The 13,588-nt window shown below is 32.9% G+C and overlaps 1 protein-coding gene across 3 annotated transcripts in view; it reads right to left on the bottom strand.

The window, feature by feature from the left end:
• The window catches only part of ARID2 (AT-rich interaction domain 2), a 178,332-nt gene that overhangs the window by 82,299 nt on the left and 82,445 nt on the right, over positions 1-13,588 (bottom strand). For all 3 annotated transcript variants that reach the window (NM_152641.4, NM_001347839.2, XM_047428489.1), the window contains exons 5-6: positions 7,851-8,069; positions 4,252-4,319 (exon numbers count right to left, since the gene is read on the bottom strand). In NM_152641.4, coding sequence (NP_689854.2) covers positions 4,252-4,319; positions 7,851-8,069 — 287 coding nt within the window. The remainder of the gene's footprint in view (positions 1-4,251; positions 4,320-7,850; positions 8,070-13,588) is intronic.

The following is a 13,588-nucleotide window of genomic DNA, read 5'->3' as shown; positions in this document are numbered from 1 at the left end:
TCATGCACCACGATGCCCAACTAATTATTTTTTTTCTTTGTAGAGACGAGGTCTCATTATATTGCCCAGGCTAGTCTTGAACTCTTGGGCTCAACCAATCCTCCTAACTTGTCCTCTAAAATTGTCAAGTAAGTCTTGATGCATTAAAGACAATTTATAATACTTAAAATAGACTGCTAAAGAATAAAGTTTTTGATTAGTTGAAGCTTATCATTAGCAGTTTTTGTTAGTTAAACCTAAAGACTAGCAATAAAGAAAAGCTAAAATGCCACTAGAAAAATCTACTTAACAGTTACCATTTCCTAAAATGACTCCCTTTTAATACAAATTTGCAAGATAGCTCAATAACAAATTTTATGGACATATAACAACTGTATGTACTTATGGGGTACCTGTGATATTTTAATACATGCATACAATGTGTAATAATCAAATAATGGTATTTGGGATATGCATCACCTCATATATTTATCATTTCTTTGTGTTGGGAGCATTTCAAATCTTCTCTTCTTACTATTTTGAAATATAAACTATTGATAACTATAGTCATGCTACTGTCCTATAAAACACTAGAATTTATTATTTATTCTTTCTAACTAGGTATTTGTACTCATTAACCAACCTCTCTTTGTACATCACCCTCTGACCCTTCCTAGCCTCTGGTAACCACCAATCTACTCTACCTCCAAAATATCAACAAGTTTGGCTCCCACATACGAGTGAGAACATGAAATATTTCTCACTCTGTGCCTAGGTTTTCATTGAACATAATGACCTCCAGTTCCAACCACATTGCTACAAAAATAGCACATTTTCATTCCTTTTAGGGCTGAATAGTATTTCATTTTATATATACATATATATATATATATGTATATATATAACTTTATTCATTCACCTGTTACTGGATACTTCAGTCAATTTCATATCTTGGCTATTGTGAATAATGCTGCAATGCACATTGACGGCACAGGTATTCCTTTGATATACTATTTCCTCTCCTTTGGATAAATACCCAGTAGTGGGATACCGTTTTCCATAATGGCTATATTACTTACTTTCCCATCAACAGTGTATGAGTTCCCTTTTATCCACATTATTACCAGCATTTGTTATTTTGCTGCCTTTCTGACAACAGCCATTCTAACTGGGGTGAGATGATATCTCATTGTGGTTCTCATTTACATTTTCCTGATGATTAGTGATGTTGAGCAATTTTTCATATATATTTTGGCCATTTGTAAGTCTTTTTTTTAAGAAATGTATCCTGCAACTTTACTGAAGTTTTATTCCTTTCTCTTGCTTGATTCCTTTGGCTAGGACTTCCAATACAATGTTGAATGAGAGTGGTGCAAGTGAGTGTCCTCATCTTATTTCAGTTTTTCAAGGAAAAGCTTTCAGTTTTTCCCCTATTTGGTATGATGATTATCTCAAAAGATGCAAAAAAAGCATTTGATAAAATTTAACATTTCTTCTTGATAAAAATTTTCAAGAAATTAGGCATAGAAGAAACATACCTCAAAACAATAAAAGCCACGTATGACAAATCTACAACTGAGATGATCATATTTTTGTCCTTCATTCTGTTGATGTGATGTATCACATTTATTGATTTGCATCCTTACATCCCTGGGATAAATCCAGCTTAATGATGGTGCACTGTCTTTTTGATATGTTGTTGGATTTGGTTTGCTAGCATTTTGTTGAGGACTTTTGCATCTATGTTCGTCACAGATACTGACCTCCAGTTTTCTTTTTCTGTTGTGTACTTGCCTGGTTTTGGTATCAGAGTAGTATTGGCCTCAAAGAATGAGTTAAGGAGAGTTCTCTCCCCTTCAGATTTTTGGAATAGTTAGAGAAGAACTGGTGTTGGTTCTTCTTTATAAGTTTGGAAGAATTCAGCCATAAGCCATCCGGTCCTGGGCTTTTCTTCATTGAGAAACTTTTTATTACTGATTCAATCTTGTTACTCTTTATTGGTCTGGTGAGGCCATTACTTCCTGGTTCAATCTTGATGGGTTGTATGTGTCCAAGTATTTATCCATTTTTTCTAGGTTTTCCAATTCATTAGCATAATATTTCAGCATAGTCTCTAATGATCCTTTATATTTCTGTAGTATCAGCTGTAATGTCTCCTTTTATGTTTCTGACTTTATTTGAGTCTTCTCTCTTTTTTCTTAGCTATTCTAGCTAGTGGTTTCTCAATTTTGTTTATCTTATCAAAAAACAACTTTTTGTTTTGTTGATCCTTTGTCTTTTTCGTCTCCATTTCAATTAGTTCTGGTCTGATCTTTAGAATTTCTTTCCTCTACTAATTTTGGGTTTGGTTTGGTTTGCTTTTCTAGTTCCTTAAGGTGTATCATTAGGTTGTTTATTTGAAATCTTTCTACTTTTTTGATGTAGGCATATATTGCTATAAGCTTCCCTCTTAGGACTGCTTCTGCTGTATCCAATGGGTTTTGGCATATTGTGTTTCCATTTTAAATTTCCTTCTTAACTTCTTCCTTGATGCCCAATAGTCATTCAGGAGCACGTTAATTTTCTTGTATTAACATCTGTACAGTTTCCAAAGTTCCTCTTATTATTGATTTCTACTTTTATTCCATTGCGATATAAGAAGACACTTGATACTATTTCAATTTTTAAACATTTGTTGAGATTGTATTGTGGCATACGATATGGTCTATCCCAGAGACTGTTCCATGTGCTGATGAGAAGAATGTATATTCTACAGTTGTTGGATAAAATAGTCTATAAATGTCTATTAGGTCCATTTGGTCTATAGTGCAGATTAAGTCTGATGTTTCTTTACTGATTTTCTATCTAGATGATCTGTCCAATGCTGAAAGTGAGTAAAGTCCCGAACTATAATTGTATTGGGGTCTCTTTTTAGCTCTACTAATATTTGCTTTATACATCTGGGGCCTCCAGTGTTGAGTGCATATATGATTGTTACATACATCCTTTTGCTGTATTGATCCCTTGTTTCATTATATAATTACCTTTTTTGTCTCTTTTTGTTCTGTGACTTAGTCTATTTTGTCTGGACAATATCAAAATTTTTACAACTGATTTTTAATATTTAAGTGATTAATCAAACACCATTAAATAAATGAAAATAAAAAATAAAGTAGTTCCCTAAAACACCATGCTATCATTTTATTTTTTATTTATTTTTATTGATTTATCGGTTGATTTTAGAGACAGGTCTTGCTCTGTCACCCAGACTAGAGTGCAGTGGCACAATTATAGCTCACTGCAGCCTCAAATTCCCAGGCTCAAGCAAGCAATCCTCCCACCTCAACCTCCCTAGTAGCTGGGACTACAGGCGCACACAACCACGCCCAGCTAATTCTTTAATATTTTTGTATAATGAAGTAAAAAATATATACTTTTTTTTGTAGGGATGGGGTCTTGCTTTGTTGCTCAGGCTTGTCTTGAACTCCTAGCTTCAAGCGATTTTCCCACCTCAGCCTCCTAAGGTGCTGGGATTACAGGTGTGAGACACCACACCCAGCCCAAGAGAGCTACTTTTAAGAAACAAAGTGGATAGATTTAGAAATTTTAGCTGAAGTTGCAGCAAGAATGAAGAGTAATCATACTTGAATGTATCTCATGAGTTTTAAAGAAAAGGTGTTTAAACAATAATGTTCTATTAATAGTAATACTATAAAATGTACCCTTGGAGAGTAAATAAAAGAAGCATCCTATATTTCCTTGAAAGCCAGCAAAGTTAGACAAGTGTTAAGTGAGAAAACAATTTGTTCAAGTCTTTTTGTAGTTTCTCACTTGAAATTCACAACTATATTTTGTTTCAGAAATATATTCCCAGAAATTTTCCTCTAGATGGACACTTACTAATCTTTTACACCTATTCTTTTTGAGGATTTGATGGCAGGTCTGGCCCTTCATTCCTTTCTGAATTGCATAGTTTCAGAACACACATAAAAACGAAAACTTCCTGAAACCCATTCTCAGAATCCCAGTTGAGAAGAGGGTCATTCAATTGTTTACTGCTATTGTTGTTACTATTCACAGAAATCAATGAAAATTTTATGTCTGTTCGTGGGTATTCTAAAAGATTTTTCACTCAACTCAATCACAACTTTAAAATCGTTGTGTATGGCATATGTATTAGGTAAAGATAAAAGTATAGGTAGTATTATGTATATTAAATAAGCAACCACTGATCTATTGTTGGCTTAGCTGCATGTAACTCAATGAATCAACATTTTAATTAAAATGATTTACCTTAACGAAGTCTCTATCAGTCTTCTCTTTCCATTCTTCTCCAAATACAGTGGAAAAGGATCCTAAAGCTAAAAAACAAATAAATAAATAGTACATTCAATAAAATGCAATAAATTCTTTCAATTAATTATTTAATAATAGGCTTGGAAAAACAACAAAACTACATCTTAATATATCTTGTGTACTAAAAATTATTTTATAGTAAATGATAGTCATGATAATTTCTTTTGAAATACATTGTTTTTAGATTTAAAGAAAATTTGTGTTCCTACAAATTAATAATATAGACTCTTTTTCATAATAATTATACAGATAATAAAGAAGTGAAGAGTACTTAAGAGTTACTCCACACTGGCTTTCATTTATACAGAAGAAAAATCTTAAAAAAGCAAACTGAGGTTATTGCTATTAAATTTCCAGGTTATCATTTAAAATCTTCATATTAATTTCAGAAATACTTGCATAATTCACACTTCAAAAAACATAGAGAGCAAGGCACTCCATGGAAATAATTCCCACAATTCCCATAAATCTCCTTTAAGGAAAATTCTGAGGCCTACATCACGCTTGTGTTTCTCGATAAAGTTGCTTTATCAACAACTTTATGACTTTTGAAAAGTCAAACCATCTGTTTTCGTAAGCTTCTTCTTAATAACGCTCTGTCTCTCATCCACATGTGGCCCTCACTTCCCCACCAAAAAACTTAAGGCACATAGATAAGTACATCCTGTGTTATTTTTTCTCCTTCATGCTGCTAGCTCGAATTGTCAATATGGGATCAGACTATAAAGCAGTATGATTCAAATGTCTAAGCTGTGATACAATGTATTTTTCCCCTTAAAAATTAAGTGAATCCTTTATCAACTATCACATTAGCTCCGTAATGAAAGTTACTGCTTTTAGAAACCAAAAGAAAATTATATAATGACAACTGTTAACAGAAAAACTAGCTGTTATGAACGTTAATCTTTAAAAAAACAAAATCTTAAGCTTCCTTATTGGACGTGTTATGACAAGCATAACAAGTGGGTATGTTTTCTCTCATAAGAGATTTATGGACTCTTGGCAGTCTTATTACCTTTTAAGTATGAACCTAATATTTAGTTAAAATTGAGTAAAATAAAGTTTGTAAAGTACTCTGGCTAGAATAAGAATTTTCATCTTACAAAATATTTAAAAGGGTGAGAAACAGCAACATTTTAAACATAAATTATATTTACTAATGATTTTACTACTGACCTTAGGGTCGTGAGGAAATAATATAAAGAACAGATGTAAATGTTTTGAATAAACAAATTAACTACAGTGACCTCAAAAAGCATTTCATAAAATATCAAATTTATACATAAGTAGCAGCTTAACCAGCAAAATGAAGCCCACACACCACTAAAGACAGACAAAGTTTTCTTTGTCCTGAAAAATCCTTATAAAAAACTTCCCTAGGGGCCGGGCATGGTGGCTCACACCTGTAATCCCAGCACTCTGGGAGGCCGAGGCGGGCAGATCACTTGAGGACAGGAGTTTGAGATTGGCCTGGCCAACATGAGGAAACCCTGTCTCTACTAAAAATATAAAAATTAGCCAGGTGTGGTGGTGCTCACTCGTAGTCCTAGCTACTTGGGAGGCTAAGGCACGAGACTCACTTGAACCTTGGAGGCGGAGGTTGCAGTGAGCCAAGACTGCATCACTGCATTCCAGCCTAGGGGACAGAGCAAGGTTCTGTCTCTTAAAAAAAAAAAACCCAAAAAAACAAACAAAAAACCCACCAAGCAAATAACATCCCTGGGAAAACAATATAGGGCAGAAATATAAAATTGAAAAATGAAATTTCTTGTCACATAGAATTTTTATTATACTTCTTCAAACACACAAAATATGTAAATATTCTACTTTCTAAAAGAAGTGGCATCTATATTTCTCTCTCAATTAAAATCTCATGCCCTAAAAATCAAATTGAAGCCTCTCAAAGTCTAACCAAATAAAATATGTCTACAACCTTCAAACTCCAAAGGAATTATTTTTGTCATATAAAACTATTGTTTTAAATATAAGGTCTTCATAAAGTCCCTATGTACTGTGGAACTAAACTTTCTGTGACTTCAAATGATAGAAACTATACCCAAATGGCACTTGCTAAATTAATGCGGTTTTGCATTATTATACTACACAATAATTTAGTCTTTTAAACAAACAAAATGCCTGAAGAATGCATGAAGATAAATTAGGTCTAAACAAGGTCTTGTCTTAGAGCACCCAAACTGGTAAGATTACTTCTATCATATACCCAACTTAAATTATTTACATGTAATCCTATTCAAAGATTAAATGTTAAGACTTAAAATTATTCTGGTTTGAAAATATACATTCTTTTCAAAGGCTTCATTTTAAGGTTTCTAAAAAATGTGAAACAATTTTCAACTCCATTCTACAATAAATGCTGAAAGTTGTATTTGGAAGATCAAAATAGAATAACGGAAATCAAAGAATATAAAAGTGATGTGAAAAGCCATCAAATTTATATCTTCAAAGTTATGACAGAAACTGAGAACTAACCATCTTTCTTCCCACATCCCCATCCATGTAATCAAGAATAGTTTTGGGCAAGTTAAGAAACTAATTTTTACTTTTATTTAATTTCAAAATCATTTTCAATATAAAATATGTGCCAAATTTCAAAGAATCCTACCTAAATAATCCCAAATAAAACACTACTTGACCCAAATCAAATTGCAGAGAAATAAATTCTTTTGCAAACATCTCACTAAAGATAAAAACAAAAAGTCATAAAATGTTATAACAAGTTCTCTCAAAGACTCTGCTACTGTGCTATATATATAATTTCCTAAAAGATAAAATACTTTTGATGTATGTCAATACCTTATTCTTGAATAGGATATACTTCTGGCAAAAAATGGGGTTGGAGTTGGGGAGAGTCGGAAAGCAAGAAATAACTTTATACCAATAACTTCAGCTAACACAGATATTTTACAAAAGAAAAACTGAGCAGGGAAAGATTTCAAAATATTATTTCTAAATCTTTATTAAACTGCAAGAGAAAACTGAGTAATTTGCTCTGTGTGATAATCTAGCCTTAATAGGTAATTTCAGAAGAGATGAAGAATTTGATTTATCAAAACCCACAACTAGCAAACCCTACAAGTAAAAATGATATGAAGCCTTTGATAAGCCTTACGTTGATGATTTAGAAGACAAATTTTCAAATGCATTGACCTAAAATGTTTTAGTTAAAAATTATAGCCACACATTAGCAGTAATAGACTTCAGAAAACAATTTCTTCCAGATCCTAGTTTTCTTTGTCAAAATCTTGTAGCAAGCAATCGTCTCAACTCAGGAAATCTATATATTACTCCAACTTAAAAACCAGGACTTTTACTTCAAAAACACTGAGACAAAATTACTATTCAAATATTTAAGGTTAAAACCCCCCAAACATTCATTATCTTAAATAATGCATAATATAAAAACAGAAAATAAAGAATGCTATTATGTTGACAAACAAAAAGTACTTTCTCCTTAAAAACCTTAAAAAAAAAACTTTTACAGAAGAATTATATAATACATTCAGCTTAAAACTTACTGTCGTCAAACACCCCGGCATTAGCAAGTAGTAAAGTGATGATTTTAGGATCTTTTTCAAGTTGCATGACGTGCTTGCTTTCATTTGATAGGAGAGTGCATACGTTAATAGCAAAGTCCACTTCATTTGGGAGTCCAGATAACAGTGAAAGCACCAATTTATTATAATCATTTGGCGAATTAAAGTCCATGGACAGCCCATAACTTTGACGCAGATAATCTAACAAAGAAAAAAAATACCTTAAGTATATCAAAGATCAGATACCTTTATGGTGAATATCCCTTGAATACAGAACACAGCTTTAAATATATATATATAATATATATAAAATATAATATAAATATATATATATATAAAATATAAACTGATTAGAGGTTCAAAACGTTCAACTTTTAAAACTTCTTAGGTTTACTAATTAAAATTACATTCTTGAAAAGGTATTAAAATACCAAAATGTACATACCATTTGGCCATCATTGCCAAAATATTTTTGAATCAGTATTTTAATTGACCTAGCTGCACTTTTTTTATTTTCTGAGACATGTCTGGCTCTGTTGCCCAGGATGGAGTGCAATGTCGCTTTCATAGCTCACTGCAGCCTCAATCTCCCAAGCTCAAGTGATCCTCCCACCTCAGCCTCCTGAGTAGCTAGGACTACAGGAAGGCTCCACTATGCTCAACTAATTTTATTTTTAGTAGAGAGAGGTCTCCCTATGTTGCCCGGGCTGGTGTCTCAATCTACCGAGTTTATGCAATTCTCCGGCTGCGGCCTCCCAAAGTGCTGCATTACATGCATGAGCCCTGTGCCCAGACTAATCTACACTTCTTACTATTGCATTTCAATGGACTTCTTCCAAATTACTGCAATATCATTAACATAGTAAAACCCATGCTAATTTTAGTTCTACAATTCTAAGTTTTGACAGATGTATAGTTTTAATCATCACAGTCAAGATATAGAGTATCTCTATCACTACAAAAAGTTTCTCATGCTCAATTCCATCCCCTACCACTAGGTACTACAAATCAAATTTACTTTCCTATCATTTTATTTCAAAATGCCAAATAAGTGGAATCACACAATATAGTCTTTTGTTGTCTGGTTTCTTTTATTTAGCAAAATGCTCTTGAGATTCATATCCATGTTGATAAGTGCATCAGTAGTCCATACCTTTCTAAACACAGTTTGTTTATCCATTCCCTAGTTGAGGGACGTTTAGATTGTTTCCAATTATTGGTGAGTACTAATAAATCTCGCTAGAAACATAGACAGGATTTTGTCGGGACATATTTTTTTCATTTCTCTGGCATAAATACCTAGAAGTGGGATTGCTGAGTCACACATAAGTGTATCCTTAACTTTGTAACAAACTGTGAAACTGTTTTCCAAAGTGGCTGTAACATCTTGCATTTCCATCAGCAATATAAAGAGTTCCTATTGCTCTCCATCCTGGCCAGCACTTAATACTGTCAGTTCTAAATACTCTAAATGAGTCCTTTGTTTCATATTTGCTTTGCACATATTTTCTCCCTGTTAGTGGCTTATCTTTTCATTTTCTTAAGTGTCTTTAAACAGAAATTTTAATTTTGATGAAGTCTGAGTTACAAATATTTACTTTTATGGTTCATGCTTTTGTGCCTAAACCAAAGCAACTAAGATTTTCCACAGGAGAATTAATTTAAAACATTTACAAAACTTTGAAGATGGGATAAAACGGGCTTACAGAACACTAAGATACTATATAATCATAATTCACATATATAAAAAATGTTGTATTTTTAGAAATAACTGAATCCTAACGGGGCAGTTTAGACCTTGGCAACTATGTCCTGAGACAAATATCACAAGTACATTTTTTCAAATAAAGCTGTCACAAGTTTAAGGGAAAAGGCAAAAAACTAAAATTTAAACATTCAAGAATATTTCAGGCTGGGCATGGTGGCTCATGCCTATAATCCCAACACTTTGGGAGGCTGAGGAAGGAAGATCACATGAGGCCAGGAGTTCAAGACCAGCCTGTGCAATATAATGAGATGCTGTCTCTACCAAAAATTTAACATTTAGCTAGTTGTGGTGGTGTGTGCTGTAATCCTAGCTGTTTGGAAGGCTGAGCTGGGAGGATTGCTTGAGCCCAGGAGGTCCAGTTTCCAGTGAGCTTTGGTTAAGTCACTGCACTCCAGCCTGAGCGACGAAGTGAGACCTGTCTCTTAACAACAATAACAAAAGAATATTTCGGAAATATCTGAATATTTTTAAAAGTTAAAAACACACACACACACACACACACAATCTCTTTAAGTAGGATGCAAGTAGAAATCTACTGTCACAACATACCACAGAAGAATATCATGTAAGTAAAGAATTTCATTTCCAAATGCAGACAGTTGAAGAGATACACCTCTTCAATTCTAACCTATTCTAGCAGTGTCTCCAACATAATGAAGAAATTCCACAACACAGTTTTTAATGGCTATGACACAGATTGTTTACAATATTTAAAGCTTGACAATAAGAATATATTGTTCATTTTTGATAATCCTTATAAATGAAATTTCTCATAAGTAACATAAAATAAATATCTGGAGAAAAAGTAATGAAACTTCTATGAATATAGGAGCAGATTTTTATATTCTACACTGTAAACTGGACTGATGATAAGCCAAGTCTTAGCAATAATTAATTTACATTTTTATATTCCACATAGCTTTCAGGTAAATCTGAATAGAAAAAAATGTGGAACCCGTATTCCTTATCTGTCGCAGTCCTAAAGTTTATGTTTTCAATATGATCTTAGAATTGTGCTATTTCCTACTGTAAAATGACAGATATTCCATTCAATACATCCTTACCAGAATGACTCTGTCAAAGACATCTTCAATTAGAGTAAGATAAACATAACAATTATGAAATATCCTTTAATTATATTTAAACATTTAGTAGTAAAGTGATGATTTTAGGATCATTTTCAAGTTGCATGATGTGCTTGCTTTCATTTGACAGGAGACTGCATACATTAACAGCAAAGTCTGCTTCATTTGGGAGTTCAGATAACAGTGAAAGCACCAATTTATTATAATCATTTGGCGAATTAAAAATTCCTTGGTAAAGATTCCTAAGATAATTATGTAGGAGAAAATGCTTATAAAATTTTAAGATCCTCCTTTCATTCCCTCAAGGAGATATGGTTGAGTAGCTATAATTTTATAACTGGAATGAGGAGGGAAGTTTATTATTTTTTTGAGATGGAGTTTTGCTCTGTCGCCTAGGCTACTGGAGTGCTGTGGATTTCGGCTCACTATAACCTCCGCCTCCTGGGTTCAAGCAATTCTCCTGCCTCAGCCTCCTGAGTAGCTGGGATTACAGGCATGCGACACCACACCTGGCCAATTTTTGTATTTTTAGTAGAAACAGGGTTTCACCATGTTGGCCAGGCTGGTCTCAAACTCCTGACCTCAGGTGATCCACCAGCCTTGGTCTCTCAAAGTGCTGGAATTACAGGTGTGAGACACCGCGCCCGTCCATATTTTCAACATTCTTGATTCAAAATTTATACAAGTGGGTCACTACTGACAAATTTAATCTGAGGCAGTCACTTCTCTTTGTTTTCAATTTAGAAGAAAGGGAGAGTTGTTCCTGGAGTGCTGTTTATGTACACTGTAGAAATTCTACAATATATTCTATCCATCTATATTGGCAGTGATTGTTGTAGTCCAAATGTCTTGTTAGAATATGCAATGCTTAAAGAAAATCTTTACTCAAATATAGCTAATAAAAAATTTTTATATCTTCCTTCTTGAAACCGAAAATTTAAGTACCAAAAATGCAAATGGACCGGGTACTTGGCTTCACTTTATTAAAATGATTGAGTTGGATTAAATCATCATAATAATAATAATCCACCTAATAATTCTGCAGAAATGATTATATCCAATCAATACCAAGGAAAAAAACAGAGAAAGAAGGAAACTGAAGTATTAGGTATGTAATGTCAAAAACAGTATGAAAACCTATGCAAATGAATGATAAAAACCACCATGTACTTGATGCCAATGTTGAAGAATCTTAAAGCTTAAAGCAACAAAACCCACAATATTTTTTTTTGCCACTTAAAGTTATTGGCCAAAAGTAGTCAATATCCTCAAAGGCAAATTCAGGCCCACATTCTATCAGTGTACGATGTTCTATATTCTAGCACTACTGACCACTGAAATTTATTATACTACCATTCAAAATATTTTAGAACAGCTTTTCTTAATGTCAACAATAAAAGTATCTCTGGATAAATACATTTATTCAAAGCTACAAGGGGAATAAGGCTGTATGATCAAATATGTAAATACATATCTTCTCAAAGTTCTAAGTAAATTTCTTTAAATACTCTCAATCTAATATTAGATAATTTCATTTTGGTGGTTTTTTTTTTTTTTTTAGAACACATGCACGCACACACACACGGAGCTTATTCTATTTTCCTTAATAACACATTAAAAGAAAAATTAATGACTTATTTGCTTTATATATTGATAATCATGTCAATTTTTAGAATACTGTCATGATGTTGCTATGGCTCTTTCTAGAAAAACATAAAGTATAAATGCTGCCCTGAAATTCTACCCCTTTTCAGTATGAACTAGATATTCTGTAATCTGATGTTCCCCATCAGTTCCCAGTTTCTTCCTCTTCATGAATCTCCAATCCTGACTTCATTACACATGTTACACATAAAATGTAACTGTTCAGATTCTCTTAAAACAAATCACACATATAATAGCATATCAGAAAAGGGTTGTTTTAACAACAGGTTAAGCAATTCTATCACTCCTTTAACCTGTGTAGCTCTATCAGTAACTTTCATTATAGGCTTCCGAAATACCAAAAATATTTCACATGATCTTTCTCAAAGCAGATCAATAGAAAATGGGAAAAAACAGATTCAGGAAAAAAATCTATTTTAAACAAGACCAAACATAGAAAAGTGTTTGTTTGGGAACAGTAGTAGCGGACACCAAAGTCTGTTTAAGTTACAAGGATTAATAGCTCTGCTATTATTGTAATACAGGGATCACACAGAGTTGTAAGTTGAAAATGATCTTTAAAGGTCATTAGCACAACATCTCATTCGATGTAGGAGTATCTTTTTTAACATCCTTGAATTAGATAATGGTCATTAGCTCTTTTTAGAAACAAGGAGCACATCACCTAACAAGTCACCCCATTTTATCTTATCAGCATAAACTATTAGCAAGCATTTCTAAAGGTGACTTAAAATATTCTCCTTTACTCTTGGTTCTTGCAGTAAAAACTATTCATTAAAAACAAAGCTAGGTTTTGTTGGCACTCCCTGCTTCACCCCTACCCCAATTATACAAAAGCATCAGATGAAGCCTCTTCTAATGGAGATCGCAGATTCTAAAAGAAGATTCTATTTCTTCAGTCATTACTGATTAGGGAAGAAATATGAAGTCAAATTCAACTTTTAAGAAACTTTGAAAATAGATAATACGAAAAAAAAGTTGATGATACTGATGATAGTCCACAAATGAGACAGTATAAATCTAAGGATAACCTGTAAGAGTACAGAACTAGTACCAGTAAATAATAATAATGATAATAAATATTTAGAATAATTATAATTTTTATAAAGAACATAGCTTGAAAAACAAGTATCTCTTTTTTTTTTTAGGCCAAATGTTAGTGAGTGGAAAAACAAAGATGTGTATCTCCTTAGACCTCTCTT

The sequence above is a fragment of the Homo sapiens genome, chromosome 12, assembly GCF_000001405.40.
Source record: "Homo sapiens chromosome 12, GRCh38.p14 Primary Assembly".
Taxonomy (NCBI): Eukaryota; Metazoa; Chordata; class Mammalia; order Primates; family Hominidae; genus Homo; species Homo sapiens.
Note: the sequence above shows the minus strand (reverse complement) of the source record. Positions and strands in the feature narration are given on the sequence as shown.